Genomic DNA, 16,516 nt, shown 5'->3' on the forward strand with positions numbered 1-16,516 from the left:
CAACAGTACATAGTTAAATCAAACAATGCTTCATTCCTTTAGAGCAGGGGTAGACAAATGTTTTCTGTAAAGGCTCAGATAGTAAATGTTTTAATATTTGTGAGGTACTTCAAGTCTCTGTCACATATTTGTCTTTGTTTCTTTATCTTTTTTAACAACTTCTTTAAAATGCAAAATCTATTTTTAGCTCAAAGAATGAACAAGCATGGGATTTGGGCTGGATTTCACCTGTGGGTTAAAATTCGCCAACCACCTACCCTAGCCAATAAAATAATCCCTGAGTGAGTCTGTGGCACAATGTTTTATTGTGACACTGAAAAAAAATCAGTTTTCCCTTGCTTTATTTCCAAATTTTGGATAATTTGTTAATTTACAAATGAGAAAGCAAAGTGAAAAAAGAGTTAAGTAGCTAAATGTCCCAAAGCAAGCTGCATAGCTGGGACGTGAGTTTGACTTTAAACAGCTTACTCTGTCATTTCTTGTAATCACATTGATGCACACACACAAGCACATTCACAAACATACAGTTTTGGTGAACTATATTTCAAAGAATTTATTTCACTTTCTTATTCCTTTTACATTATACAAAAAAAGATATTTAGTAAGGAGTCCAGTTGCTATTGTTTTTCACTGTGATGTTGGGTAGTTGCAATCAGAAGCTGTTCTTTAAGAAGTCAATGTCTAAGAGTAAAAAGCTAAAAGGAAAAAGCAAAGAAACCTGGAATGAAGAGTAAAGGAAAATGAAGAAGTAAATATGAAAAGAGTAGTGGAAACAAAAACCAGAGATGAATCAAGGGAGAAAAAAGCACAATGCATGCATTTTTTTGAGAGTAAAATCTACTAAACTACTGATTCTTCAGAGTAAAATTTCATTTTCCCACAATAAAAATAGCTAGTCCCTGATAACACATCCAGGTTAATCTATCAAAGGCAGGGCATTGAAAAAAGAAAACCTATGAAATACACATAACTCATTAATTTCAAACACATTTCTCACTATTAACATTATAATTATCAGACACTAACTATTATAAATTAACATTAAAATGTACTAAATTTGCATAAGAAGAATACTATTATATCCCACTGCATTTGTGTTTCTCAGGTAGTTCAAAATTCTGAATATATAATAACAATATGATTATGCTGAATTACTTTATTAAATCTATAATATGAAATAAGATATTTAAATCTTTAGGTATTTAATTTTTTTATTTTATGAAATACATGCATTATAAAACTGTATTTGAGTTATCTAAAATCGTTGTTCAAATTAAGCCTCAGAATAGTTTTAAAAGAATAATCTCAAACTTATAATTTTTAATATTTCATGAATTTGAAATAATATAGCACTAATTAAACATATATAAATGATCTAACGTCTAATATATAATCATATTTGAATTGAAAAAAATTTTATTAAGTATGAGTATTTCATATAGATGCTTAGGAAAAATATGATTTCTTAGGAACATGAAATATAAGGAAGTAATTGAAGAACTTTATGTAGGAAGTATCTGAAAAATTTTTAATGCAAAATGCTTAATTTAAGATTACTTTCCTCTCAAGATTAAAATGTTAAACTTAGAATTCTAAGTACCAACTTTTTGACAAAAAGAGGCAGTGTACTGGCTTTCAAGAGCTATGCAATACATTATGTAAATATAATTTTACCCTTGCTATAACACTGAATAAATGCACATACTATATTATAATGAAGCATTTCTTCCTAGTAGTATTCTAAACTTCCATATAACAACTCAGACGTTAGTGAACATATGTTACAAGTATGTGTTAAAACCAAAGCATAATTAATTCTACGTCTCAGTGCTTAATATATCTTACCTTACTATTCTTCATTACTGTGAATGATATATTACCCTATTTTCAAGCTAACAAGTTAGCCTTCTACGATTTCATGAATACTAGCAGAAGATACAGACTCCTAGAACTGGAAAAAAGATGTTATAGTTCACAGCAATAGTAATATACATTACTATTAGTAATATGTATTACTAATAATAGTAACCAGAGAATCAGCAACCTCAAGCCCCAGTTTCCACAGGGTGATGCTCAGAGGGCCAGGTGATACTTGTAAACTCTGCAGCTTGCATTTCAAAAGAGAAAATCTAAGCTTAGAGTACCTGAATCTTTTATAGTGGGCAGTAAACATGCCTATCTTCTGCTCTGGAGAAAGACACTATGCCTCCTTCCAAGGTTGTTCGCTATACAAATATTCTCGAAAAATTGCACCAAAACGAAAGCAGTCAGTGCCTCTGCTTGCAAAATGGGCAAAGATGTGAAAAGCCTGTAAAGAACTGTGTCCTAACGACCACCCAAAGAGTAGAAAATAACTAGTCTTATTTCAAGGAACATGGAGAGAATCCTCAGACATTTTGTTGTGTGAATTGTTACTATAGAGGCACATTTGACCTTGCAGGAAGCCATTCCCTGAGAGCAGGAGGTAATAATCGATAGAGAAAAGGTAATAGTCAACTTTTGTTAGAGAAGATACTCTCTATGAAAAGATATTAAAGTACATTATTTTGTATGAGATCAGATTTTTCTCTTTGAAAGCTCTTCAACAGACTGCCTACAAATGGTTAAGAGAAATGCCCTGGGAAAGAGGCGTGTATTTTCTAAAGTTGGTAATACTTTGGGCTAAACAGATTGCATTTAAAATAAGTGTCAGGAGTGTGATGACTCAACTGAAACTTTACTGCTCTCAAATCTACTGTTTGCTGTCTTCTAACAAGAAGTCATCATTGTAAATCCTAAATTTACCATACATAGTTTTAGTTGTATCACACTACTTGTGGTTCCATATCGTAGTTATGCAACATTGCAGATGAGCAAGGTTGCCCACTTCAAAGTCAGCTTAATTTACTGTGTTGCTGTATTCCTGAGAGCCGTTTGCTGTGGTATAACAAAGCCATAATTCCCTTTGTTTAAATCATTTTGTGTATATTGAGGATGATACAAAATTCTAGTATTATACAAATTTTGAAAATAATTAAATACCTTTTCCTCTGTAAGTGGCACAAGACAGCTGCCTATCAATTTGCTGATCTATCCAGTACACAGATATAATTTATGCATGCACTAAATATACTTCAGTAAGAAGTTTTAAGAAAAACTATAATCAAAACAGATTAAAATTAGTTTTATTTTTTGGTGTTAAAATTTTAAAATTTATACTATCTGTACTCTAACACCAACAAAAATCTCCACAAAATACAAAAATGTCTTAAGTAAATTGATACGTTGATGTATAACATCTAAGATTGAGGATGAGTACTTGCAATAAGTTTTTTTGTGTATTTTATTTTGCTGCTTATTTTGCTATTATTTTCTTCCTGCAGAGTTTTTACTCTCACCTACCTAATATGTTGTTTGAATGTGAGAATAATCCAAGTTGACAGACAATGAATGAAAAAAAGAGTTACTGCTCCAGTCTCTACATGTATCCATCCATCCACTCATCCATTTACTCAATCATCTAAATGGTCCTTTCAACCATTAAGCAGTCTAGGAAATAACTAACCGTTAGGTTGTTTCCTAACTGTGAAGGATAGAAAAGTAAATAAGAGGTAGAAACTTATTTCAATGGATTAAATAATGTATTACTTTCACTGATCACGTTATAGGGAAATTATTACAGGGATTCACTGATAGAGAGCCCTGTGGGTATGTGTATTGATGAAGTGGGGGAGTGGGAAGTTTAAGAGAGAAAGATTGGGTGTGTGTGCCTATGTGTTTGTTTGGAATAGAAGAGCCTCAAATGAAACATGAGGGAAAAGTTATGCTTTAACTGGTCCTAAAAACCTACCAGACAGAGTGATAGGGCATGAAAAGGAATGGGGGAAACTCATAGTGATCTCTCCTTTCTTTCCTCCATACCTTTGGAAGCAAAGATATGGGGAAAGAAAGGAGAGATGCCCAGCCAGCTCCACATTTAAATAAATGATTTAGTTTTATCTGTTGGCATTCATTGATCTCCTTATTACTATGGCTGAATCTGAATGTGGAGATATGGTGTGCCTAGATATTCTACCACTCCCCTCTACAAGCTACACATAACAAATCAAGATTGTAGGTGTCCACACAAAAGAGAAATAGAACTTTTCTTTTTGGTTTTGCTTTGTTGCCTGCTGATGTGCTACCAGTTAGAGGTATTAATATACATATACTCCAGAAATCTTTTTTAAATACTTGATGAGGCACACAGTGAGTTTGTTTCTAGGAATACAAAAATGCATAGGATAGGTAGGATATCTGCTTCTTTGGAAAGTACAGTTAAGTAACAGAGAAAATTAAACAAGGCCAGGACACATTTGCTATGAAAAGACAAGGGCAAGGTTCAAGGAAGAATATATCAAGTTCTTAGGCAGGGATGGAGGGTTCAGATAAAGCTTTCCAAAAAACATCTAACATTCTGTGTACAGGGTAAGGAGCAAGCTTTGAAGGAGTTGAGTTTGAGCAACAGAATAACAAAATCAAAATTTTCTTTTAGAAAGATAAATGTATGTAGTGTTGAAATGCCTTGGAAAAGAAGAAAACTTCTGCTTCCAGATGTTAAATAAAATGTTCATCTAAAATTCTATTGACCAAAATATTCTATTTCTTTGACATTCTTTCTACATGAGTGATAAGCTCCTCCAGGGCATGAAACATTTCTTTCACAAAGCAGTTTGACAGTGCTTCATATTCAGTAAACACATTTTAAATACTCCTGTAATGTCTAATCTGGAAGCAGAAAACACAACAAACTGAAGCTGGAAGTGTCTGTTTGCTTCCTGTAAACTATATATAAGTTGGTCACAAACTCTAAAAGTGCTTACAAACATGGTTGACATTAAATTTAAAAAAATCAAAGTTTGACTAAATGTCTGTAACCAGTTCCTTAAATATATCAAGTAGCCTCTCTCTTGCCTATTTCCTTGGTCCTGTTCTCTAGAAGGGTGGAGTCATGAGTAGGGAAACAACTCACAAAACCACTTTTCACAAACTAAACACATGAAACTCTCCAGGTAATCGCCAGATAACTGCATATGTGTTACAGAATTAGAATGAATGTTTCCATCATGGAGAGAGTAACCTCCTACCTGATCATTCCACATCAAAATTCATACCATTAGAGGGAAAATTCACCTCTAAACTTTCAACCAGTTCAATATCTAAATGTGGGAGGAAGTGAAAGAGCACCTTGGTGGAAAATCAACTGCTTGCTGCTAATTAGGCTCCTCCACAATCCCCCAAAGAAGTCCAGCTAGCCAATTAAGTTTAATTGCTGCACACCAGGGCCTTGGGGTCTGGCCCCTACAGAACTCACAGCAGTGGCTACAGGGACTTCTTTGCCCAGAGCAGGGTTTCAACCCCACACTTCTCAAACTAATCTCAGTAATACTTTACCCTAATACACTCAAGCTGAGAGAGGACATATTGTACCTTTAGAATGATGCCATATTGTTTAGGATTGATTTCCAATTAATGTTCTGCCCTGAATTTCAATATATGCCCTAGTTTTTGTTACTTATTTAAGTTTATGATAATCAAGAGAAATGCTAGAGAAAAATACACTCGTGGGAAAAGATGAGTGTAAAATTATCATTATAAAACCCAAGATATGTGATATAATACAAATAAGTACATATTATCTATTTTCTTTGTTTCACAGTTAAGACATTACTCCTTGACTGTAATTTAGAAAATGTTCCAGAAATAGTTGCTGGAATCTCAAATAACCTGCAGATAAATATATTTTATATCTCCATCTTTGTAAAAGTATGGTTTTCTGTTATCCTGTTCTAATGCTTTTCTCAGGAACCTGATAACTGAGATTTTCAGGATATAGTCTCCATCTAACATTGACAGGAGTAAAATCGCAAACCTGTGCCTGACTCACTCTTTTAGATTTATTTTTATAATTAAGTTGCTATGCCTCCTAGTCACCATGACAGCTTTCTGCAATGCCTGAAAACACGCCCTTCCATTCTGACACTCTTATCCTACTCAGATTCCACTATTTGCATTTAAAATAAATGAATGCTGAATTTTATTCTTATTCAAAGCATTCTGAAAATGGGTTTTTATCCAGGTTGCTGCTGAAGTGTGAATAATTTCCATACTGCATTCATTAGTCATAGAAACAAACAAATATGATTTATAGGAAAAGATTGAATCCGGAGGCTAATTTTCTTCTTTCTGGTGGTATTACTGATTTCTTGACTTCCATTTTGCTTTACCTCTAAGAACACAAATGATGGGCAAAAAAATTACTAAAATGTAATTAAATAATTACCATCTTTCAAGAAAAAAAAATGTATGTCAATTGAGACAGGAAAAATATATTTACATAAGAGTAATACCAAAAAAAAGTGATAGAGAAAGAAGCATCAATGCCTTGACATGTAGGAAGCATGAAAAAAGGAAAAGACCAAAAAGAGAAAGGCATATTATGTAAGTACTATACTAATTATGATTATAAAGAATGCAATGCATTCTACCTTACATGCTTTATGATTCAAGTGTCATTACAGTCTAATTATATATCACATTTATATATACTATACCTTAACAGTTTCTGTATGATGGTCAATTTGCTCCTAAGGTTTTTTATTCTCTAAAATTACATGAACATGAAAACAGAGAAAAGGGGGCAGAAAAAAAAAAGTGACATCATAAAGATTATTTTAAATTGATACTTTCAAGCTCTAGTTAGTTCAATAAATAATATTGCAAGTAAATTCTTGGAACAGTTAGGAAAGAAAATGAAGTTTATAAATAGATATACATTAAATTTTTTTCAGCTAAGTAATTAATTGTGTATAAAAGCTTTAAGAATATTGAGCAAAGTTGCAGAAGAGAATAAAACTATATATTTTTTATAACTTCATCAGATATTGTATTAGTTTTCTAGGGCTGCTGGAACAAAGTGTCACAAATTGGGTGGCTTAAACAACAGAAATTTATTGTCTCAGAGTTTTAGAGGCCAGAAGTCTGAAATCGAGATATTGACAGGGTTGCCTCTGAGTGCTCCGAAGAGAAACTCTGTTCCAGGCTACTTTCCCCGACTGGTAAATGGCTGTCTTCACATATGCATGATGTTCTCCCTGTATGCACGATGTTCTCCCCGTATGCATGCCTGTGTCCAAATTCTCTCCTTTCATAAAAACATAAGTCATATTGCATTAGGGGCCTCCCACTTTTATGACTTTATCTTAACTAGTTACATCTGCAACAATACTATTTCCAAATAAGTTCACATCCTGAAGTCCTAGAGGGCTAGGACCTCAACTTACCAGTTTGGAAGGATATAGAATTTAACTCATAATGGGTAAAAACCTATTTTAATTGGAAAAATATGTGAATGTATAACCAATATGGATATATTATTTTCATTTTAATGTTACCTGAATAAATTCCTGTTTTTTATAATTCCCATAATACTAAATAACCTCCCTCCAAATTTTAACTATATTAAAATTAGGTAAACTTAAATTAACATCACTAACTTATCATGATTAAAAAAAAAGTTAGTCTGCTGTTGTCAAATTACAATTCAGAATGTGAATGTGCTTTTGGCAGCTATGGTAATATCTCTTTTGACTTTAGTATATCCAATAGATAATTCCTATTTTTCTGCTAGCTTTCTCTATTTGAACTATGGCTAAACATTTGTATGAAGAGACTACTATATCAGTCTGAGTCTGATCAGGAGCGAGAAACTGAACAATTTGGACAGGAAATATTTAATATAAAGAATTACTAACTATTGGATTGGAGTAAAAACATATTTATTAGTTAGATGTAAAGAGAACTTTAAAAATCCAAAATTAACAAATACAAGGTGCAACTATTCTTACCTCTAGAGTTGAGACAGAACTCCTGAGAGTTCCCACAGGAACGACATTTAGAACCTAGAACAGTGGCTCATTTTATGACAAAGCAATCACTGTAGTACTGTACCAGCAGAACTTGCCAGAAACAAATTCTTTGTAATGCCAGGTAAATCTACTCATGGAGAGACATTTGACCAGAGACACTCTGCTACAGGACTGCCTAAGGTGGTATCAAGGGAAAGCTGCTAGCTGCCATGTGCTCAATGATCCAGGCACTGAAGTTGCTGTACACCCTTTATTTGCAAATCTTTAGAGCCAGCTACCAAAGGAAAAATATCTAAAAAGCTCAGGTCCATTTTCACAAATAAGATAAAAAGGGTGAATTTTGAGCTAAGAGGCAATAAATCAATAACCACATCCACTAAATCATTACCACCACCTCTGCATGTACATATCATTTATATATTAAGGACACTGTATTATTGCCATATTTGTCAATGAAAATAAAGCACTACTAGTTTACAATTACTTATCCTCACTCTTTACCTCAAAATGATTTGAAATCCAAATGATTTTTATTTAAAAAAATCCTGATACAATCTAACAAGAGTATATTTATAGTCATTATTTCCCACTTACTTGAATAGCCACATATGTTATTGTAGAAATTTGATTTGATTCAAGTTTATTTCTACTGATTTCAGTGATTCCCCATCCTCCCTTGGGAAATTATATACTTTTCAGTGTATGTACTATGTTACCTTTCTCAAATCTAAAGCTATGGAAAATATCTGGCCCTAGGGGTTTCAGATAAGGGATTGTAGACCTTCTACTTTGGAACCATTTTGATCTTAAGTACAAAACCAGATATGGGAAGGTGAAATCAGCAAGATGGCAGAATAGGAAACCCTGAGCCTTGTTAACCCATAGAAACAAGACTTAACAATAATATACAGTCTGAAAAGCCTTTCTAAGAACTTCAGAAACCCATTAAGACCTCGTAATATCCAAGGCAAGTCCAAACCCAAGGCTAATCACATTGAAGTAGGTAAAAAAAAAGTGACTTAATTTTAATTGCATCAGCCTGTCCCCCAAGAGAGCACAGTTTATGGATGAGAGGAAAATCCCAACTTTCATCATCTCTCTATGGAGGGAAAGAGAAGATGGAAAGTATATCCAACATTCTGGCTTTTCAGAAAGCTGCCCAAAAGATTGGTGTCTGTCTTGCCCAACTCAATGGGAAACTCATTTACTTTAGAAGCCCAGGGAGCGCTGACAACAAAAGAGAGCCTAGTGGCTCATGGGAGAACTACAGAACTTGTAATACTGTGGACAGAAGCTGATAAAGTCCACTGTGATTGGGAGAAAGTACCCAGCTCACGGTTTCCTCCTTAGGAGGGATGGAGAAAAGTGGAATGTATGTCCAATATTCTGGCTCTTCAAGGGGCTTCCCAAAGGACTCTTTTCTGTCTCACTTGACTTGACTTCAAACACTGATGAAAGAGGAAAACCAATTCTTTTTTGAAAAGATTAATAAAATCAGAAAACCCTTATCTAATCTAAGACAAAAGACTCAAATAAAAACAGAAAGAAGAGACATTAGGACTAGTGTCACAGAAATAAAAAAGTTCATAGGAGACTACTATGATTATACTAATAACAATTTTATGCCAACAAATTGGATAACATAGAAGAAATGGGTAAATTCCTAGAAATGTACAACCTGCCAAGAGTGAATCATGAAGAAATAAAAAGTCTGAAAAGACCTATAATTAATGAAATTGAATTAGTAATCAAAAAACCCCCAAGGAAGAAAATCCGAAGATCAGGTGGCTTCACTGGAGAATTCCTCCAAACTTTTAAAGGCAAATTAACACCAATTCTTTTCAATCTCTTCCAAAAATGTGAAGATAATTAAACACTTCTGAACTCATCTTATGAGGCCAGCAATACCATAGTACCAAAACCAGACAAAGATATTACAGGAAAACTACACACCAAAATCCCTGATGAATATTGATGTAAAAAATCTTCCGTAAAATACTAATAAACCAAATGCAACAGCATATTAACAGGATTATATATCATGACCAAGTGGAAATTATTCCCGGAATGCAAGCAAGTTTCAACATATAAAAATCCATCAATGTAATACAACACTTTAGCCGAATGAAATGTAAAAATCACATGCCATCTCAATTGATGAAGAAAAAGCATTTGACAAAATTCGGCACCCTTTTATAATTAAAAAAGAAAAAGAAAACTAATGAAACAAGAAACAGAAGGAAATTACCTCAACATAGTAAAGGCTATGTATCAAAAGCCAAGGGCCTAACACCACACTCATGGTGAAAACTGAAAGCTTTTCCTCTAAGGTCAGCAACAAGGAAAGGATGCCCACTCTCATCACTTCTACTTATCAAGTGCTAGAAATCCTAATCAGAACAATTAGGGAAGAAAAATAAATTAAAGTCATCTAAATAAGAAAGGAAGAAGCAAAATTTCTGTTTGCAGATTATATTATTTATATATTTTTTAAAAATTCCACCCCCCCAAACAGAAAATTGTTAGGACTAATAAAAGTATTCAATAAAGTTGTCAGATGTAAAATTGATACACAAAAATTAGTGTGATTTTAATACACTAGCAAACAATTCAAAAAGAAAATTAAGAAATAATTTTATTTATAATAGCATCAAAAAGAATAAAATACCTAGTAATAAGCTTAACCAAGGAAGCAAAAGACTTGTACACAGAAAACTAAAAAACGCTCCTCGAAAATTAAAGACACAAATAAATGGAAAGCCATTTCATGTTCATGGATTAGAAGACTTAATATTTGTAAAAAATTTATACTATCTGAAGTAATCTACAGGTTCAATGAAATCTCTATCAAAATCCCAATGCCATTATTTTGCAGGAATAAAAAACAAATCATTAAATTCATATGGAATTCCAAAGGACCCTGAATAACCAAAACAATCTTGAGAAACAAAAGAAAAGCTTGAGGCCTCATACTTCCTGATTTTAAAACATATTATAAAACTATAGTAATCAAAACAGTATGCTACTGATATAAAGACAGGTATATAGACCCACAAAACCAAATAGAGATACTAGAAATAAACTGATTCATATGGTCGAATGATCTCCAACAAAGGCGAAAAGGCTACACAAAAGCTATGATGGGGGAAAAAAGGGGTGCGGCCTCTTTAACAAATTGTGTAGAGAAAACCAGATATCCACATGCAAAAGAATGAAGTTGGACCCTAACCTCACACCATATACAAAAGTGAACTCAAAATACATTAAAGACCTAAACACAAGACCTGAAATTATAAAACTCTAAAGAGAAAACGGAATAGATAAAAACTTCAAGACTTTGTATTTGGCAATTTCTTGTATATGGCAAGAAAAGCAAAAATACAAGTGGGTATATCAAAAAATCTTCTGCTCAGCAAAAGAAACAACAGAGTGAAAAGGCAACTTTAAAAATGGAAGAAATTCCTACAACTCAACAGCAACAGAAAAAAAAATCTAATTTAAAACTGGGCAAAGAACAAAAATAGACATTTCTCCCAAAATAAAAATACAAAGGGCAAACAAGCAAATGAAAAGATGCTCAACCTCCCTTACATTAAAGAAGTGTGAGTCAAAACAAAATGAGATATAACCTGACAACTGTTAGGATGGTCACTGTCAAACAAAACAAAACAAAACAGAAAATAATAAGTGTTGCTAAGGACATGGAGAAATTGAAACCTCTGTGCACTTTTGTTGGGAATATAAAATGGTGCAGCCCCTATGAAAAACAGCGTGAAGATTTCTCAAAAATTTAAAAATAACATTGCCATATGATCCAGTAATTTCACTTTTAGGCAGGTATCCAAAACAATTGAAAAAGGGATCTCAAACAGATATTTACATGTTACCCATGTTCATTGCATTATAGCAGCAATATTTATAAAATCCCAGAAGTAAAAGAAACCTAAATGCCCATCAACAAAGGAATAGATAGAGAAGATGTGGTTTATCCATAAAACAGAATACTATTCAACCTTTAAAAAGAAGAAATCCTGATAGGAAGTGAGGTAGCCAGTCACATAAGAAAAAATACAGTCATGCATCATATACCAATGGAAATATGTTCTGAGAAATGTGTCATTAGGCAGTGTAATCTTTGTGCAAACAATGTGAAAGTACTTACACAAACTTATTATATGTGGTTGATACAGTTTGGCATCCCCACCCAAATCTCATCTTGAATTCCCATATGTTGTGAGAGGTACCTGGTAGGAGGTAATTGAACTGTGGGGGCAGGTCTTTCCCATGCTTTTCTCATGATAGTGAAGAAGTCCCACGAGATCCGACGGTTTTTAAAAAGGGGAGTTTCCCTGCACAAATTCTCTTCTCTTGTCTGCTGCCATGTGAGAAGTAGCTTTCTCTTTCCATCATGATTGTGAGGCCTCCCCAGCCACATGGAACTGTAAGTCCATTAAACCTCTTTCTTTTTTAAATTGCCCAGTCTTGGGAATGTCTTTATCAGCAGCGTGAAAATGCACTAACACAGTGCTACAGCCTAGTGCACATCTAGGCAAAATGACACAGCATATTGCTCCTAGGCTACAAACCTGTACAACATGTTACTGTACTGAATACTGTAGGCAAATGTAATACAATGGTAAGTATTTGTGTGTCTAAACATAGACAAGTGCAGTAAAAATGCAGTATGAAAGATTTAAAATGGTACAACTGTGTAGGGCACTTACCATGAATGAAGTTTGCAGGACTGGAAGCTGCTCTGTGTGAATCAGTGAGTGAATGTGAAGGTCTAGGATATTACTGTACATTCTGTAGACTTTATAATCACTGTACACTTAGGTTACACTAAATTGATTTTAAAATAGTTTTCTTCCTTCAATAAGAACAGATTACTGTAGCTTTTTGATTTTATAAACTTTTTTTAATTTTTTAAAACTTTTTGACTCCTTTGTAATAACACTTACGTTAAAACACAAATACATTTTACAACAGTGCAAAAACACTGTCTTTCTGTGTATCTTTATTCTATAAGTATTTTTTTATTTTTGAATTTATTTATTTAAACTTTTTTGTTAAAAACTGAGACATAAACACATGCATTAGCCTAGGCCTATGCAGGGTCAAGATCATCCATATCCTTGTCTTCCACCTCCACTAGAAGGTCTTCTGGGGCAATAAGACGCATGGAGCTGTCATCTCCCATGATAACAGTACCCTCTTCTGGAATATCTACTGAAGGACCTGTCTGCCACTGTTTTACAGTTAATTTTTTTTATGGAATACCTCCTGAAGGACCTGTCTGCCACTGTTTTACAGTTAATTTTTTTATATGTAGAAGGAGTACATTCTACAATAACATTAAAGGTATATTGTAGTAAATACATGCCAGTAACATAGTCATTTATTAATTTTATCCAGTATTATTCACTGTACTTAATTATATGTGCTATAATTTTATGTGACTGGCAGTGCAGTAGGTTCATTTACATCAGCATTACTGCAAACATATAAGTAATGCATTGTACTGTAAAATTATGACAGCTATGACATCACTAGGCATTCATTTTTAGCTCCATTATAATCTTAAGGGACCATGGTTTACATACATATACATAAAAATACATAGAGTATATATATATATATATATATATATATATATATATGGCATATATATAAACATGGTCCCTTAAGATTAGAGTGTGGCATTGATTAAAACATAGTTATGTGGCATATGACTGTACTGTATGATTCTACTTATATGAAGTATCTGAAATAGTCTCGAACTCGTAGAAACAGAAAGTAGAACAGTGCTTGCCAGGAAGTGCTGGCAGGAAATTGGAAAGGGGGATGTTTTAATCAGGCTTCTTCAGAAAGACAGAATGAATAAGTTATATGTAGAGAGAGATATATGAAAAGGGATTTATTAGAGGAATTGGCTCACCCAATTATGGAAACAGGGAAGTCCCACGATGAGCCGTCTGCAAGCCGGAGAAACGGGGAGGCCAGAAGCGTGGCTCAATCCAAGTCAAGTCTGAAGGCCTCAGAACTACAGATTCCAATGGTCTCTTAGTCCGAAGCCAAAGTCTCAAGGGCCTGAGTGGGCCACTGCTGTGAGTCCCAGAATCTAAAGAACAGAGTCAGGAGTTCTGAAATCCAAGAGCAGGAGAGAGCATTCTGGCTCTGGAAAAGAGAGCAAGAATTTGCCCTTTCTCCACCTTTTTGTTCCATCCTGGACCCCAGACAGATCGTACCCGCCCACATTGAGGGCAGATTTTCCCCATTGCCAATCTCCTCCAGAAACACCTTCATAGACACACCTGGGGCAGCCCTTCATACTCACCAAAAGACAAATCACCTGGGCCTGCCTTTCAGCAGAAAAGAGATGAGCTCAGTTCCTATCAAAGCATTGAGAACAATTAACGCCTTACCAGCTATCTGGGTATCCCTTAATCCAGCAGAACTGATGCCTAAAATCAACCATCAGAGGGGAGTTTTTCAATGGGTATAGATTTTTAGTTTTTCAGGATGAAAAAGTTCAAGAGATCTGTTGCACACCAATATGCATATAGTTAACACCATATATGCATTCTTAAAAACAGTTAAGATGGTAAATTTTATGTTGAGTCACTGTCCAAAATGAATAATAATAACAATAAAACAGATATGGGCTCCAAAAGGCCTAACTATATGCAGTTACAACATAATTATCCAGATAATTCAGAATGCGCTTACATTTTTTAAAGGAAATAGTGTAAAAAATAATAATTAAAATTTTCTCATGAAGAGCCAGAGTCTCTTCCATATTATTTCCAGAACACAGAGAGTGGAAGGGGAAGAGGTGTGGAGGAGGTGGATGGGGAGCTTCATATCTGAATTTGAGAAACCCATTGTATATATACCTCACGCATGAAAGAGTAAGATTTAGACATTGCTTAATTGTCCTTTTAAATGCCAAATCACCAGGAAAAAGCAAAATACGGGGTGCCACCTTCTATAGCTAACCTTAACCCTGACCTTAACCTGAGCTTCCACAAATTCTTGTGTATTTCTGATAGATAATAAAATCCTTTATTTTTAAATGATAACCTTGTTGTAAAAGGGAGTTACAATGAATAAAGCTACTTCTAATGGCAAAAAATTTGGCTGCACTCAGATTAAATATTCACCATGATCTAAAACTTCCTACACGTTAAACAATTTGGTAACATTTCCTGTTTTTCATCTTCTTTTATTGCTACTCATGTTTGAAATATACTTAATGCCAATATATTTCATAGCTTTCATAAATTTTTAATTGAAACTAAAAGAATAAAATAACATACTTATGATTGACAAAAGCATTGTTCCATATAGTTGTCATAAGTTCAGAACTCTACTGTTTTATCACCAAACTTGGTGCAGAGCAGACATTGTTCATTTTCTTTATATATATTTTATGAAGTCAATGTCTGCATTCTTTGCTATAACTGCTATTGTAAAAAGTATATCAACTGTAACCTCTTGTGCTGAGGAGACATGATCGATCAATTAAACAACAACACAAGAACCATTCAAGTCATGTCAGATCTTCATTAAATATTAGAATGTAACATCACACCTCATTATTGTGATTTAATAATTTAATTAAAATGTCCTATGAAATAAAATAGTGGTCATAAAATTGGAAATAACTGAACATTAAAGAAAAGATTTCACAGCCATCTAAAAGATGAGCATCTTGATTGAACATTTGGCAGGTAAATGAAGACAATAATGTCCCCTCAACTATTGCCCAGGTACCATCAGTATTGGCACATTGATATTTGCAAAGATGACTCAGATAAAAATGTTGTAAACTATTGTGAGTACATATTATCAAGCATTCATGTACTTGACCCTAAGCCATTAGATCATCTGTTCTTTGAAAATTTACCTGGCTAAAATTGTAGCCATTGCTAACTAAGGTGCAAATTTGCTATTTGCAAATTAAAGTTTGGCCCCACAATTTGCTATTGATTAATATTGTTAAGCAATTTCATGAGAAAGTTTGAAATGATACAAATGTGAAATAATTTTATGATTCAGTTAATAATAAAAAAATTGCAGGGCTGACAGGCATATGAATTATAAAGTCTGTTAAAGTGTAGGGTTCTCATGGAGGAAGTACTTTTGCTGGTAAACAGAAATCTCCACTTCTAAAGTTTTACAGTATCTTGTGATTCAAGCTGTTATTTACACACATAGGAACTTCTACAGTTGATTTTGATTACCCCGTGCTAGTACTTTATCATAAAGTCACCTACATCTTCTTTAAAATTCTAATAATATCATGCAAGTATTCATCAAGTGGTAGTGCTGGTGCTGGAAAATAAATGATTAAAATCAATACCTTTGGAATACAAATTAATATAAAAAAAAACACCATGATGATGGTCAAAGAGCCTGCATGACTTACTGTGCTGTTAACTTAGGAAAGCACACTCTGTGACATTTTAGAGACAAAGATGAGAAAATAAATATACCATTAGGCCAGGCAAACCTTCAAGCTAGCCAAAAGGACGACATGTCAGCAAGGCAAATGGGAAAAATAAAAGCAATCTCTCATTGTAAAGTGCCCCTAAGTTTAGGTGGTCCTAAGGGAAATTAGTTTTATG

At 33.8% G+C, this 16,516-nt stretch overlaps 2 long non-coding RNA genes across 2 annotated transcripts in view; both read right to left on the reverse strand.

Moving 5' to 3' along the window:
• Positions 1-6,624, reverse strand: part of LOC124904473 (uncharacterized) — a 37,073-nt gene extending 30,449 nt beyond the window's left edge. Inside the window, exon 1 of the long non-coding RNA XR_007066775.1 lies at positions 6,573-6,624. This is a non-coding gene — a long non-coding RNA (uncharacterized LOC124904473). The remainder of the gene's footprint in view (positions 1-6,572) is intronic.
• Positions 6,625-6,949: 325 nt separating this feature from the next.
• LOC124904472 (uncharacterized) lies at positions 6,950-13,998 on the reverse strand. Its single transcript, XR_007066774.1, has 2 exons — positions 13,825-13,998; positions 6,950-7,162 (listed from the first exon to the last, which is right to left on the reverse strand). It is a non-coding gene; the product is annotated as an uncharacterized LOC124904472 (long non-coding RNA).
• Positions 13,999-16,516: the final 2,518 nt, after the last annotated feature.

Source organism: Homo sapiens, chromosome 1 (assembly GCF_000001405.40).
Source record: "Homo sapiens chromosome 1, GRCh38.p14 Primary Assembly".
Taxonomy (NCBI): domain Eukaryota; kingdom Metazoa; phylum Chordata; class Mammalia; order Primates; family Hominidae; genus Homo; species Homo sapiens.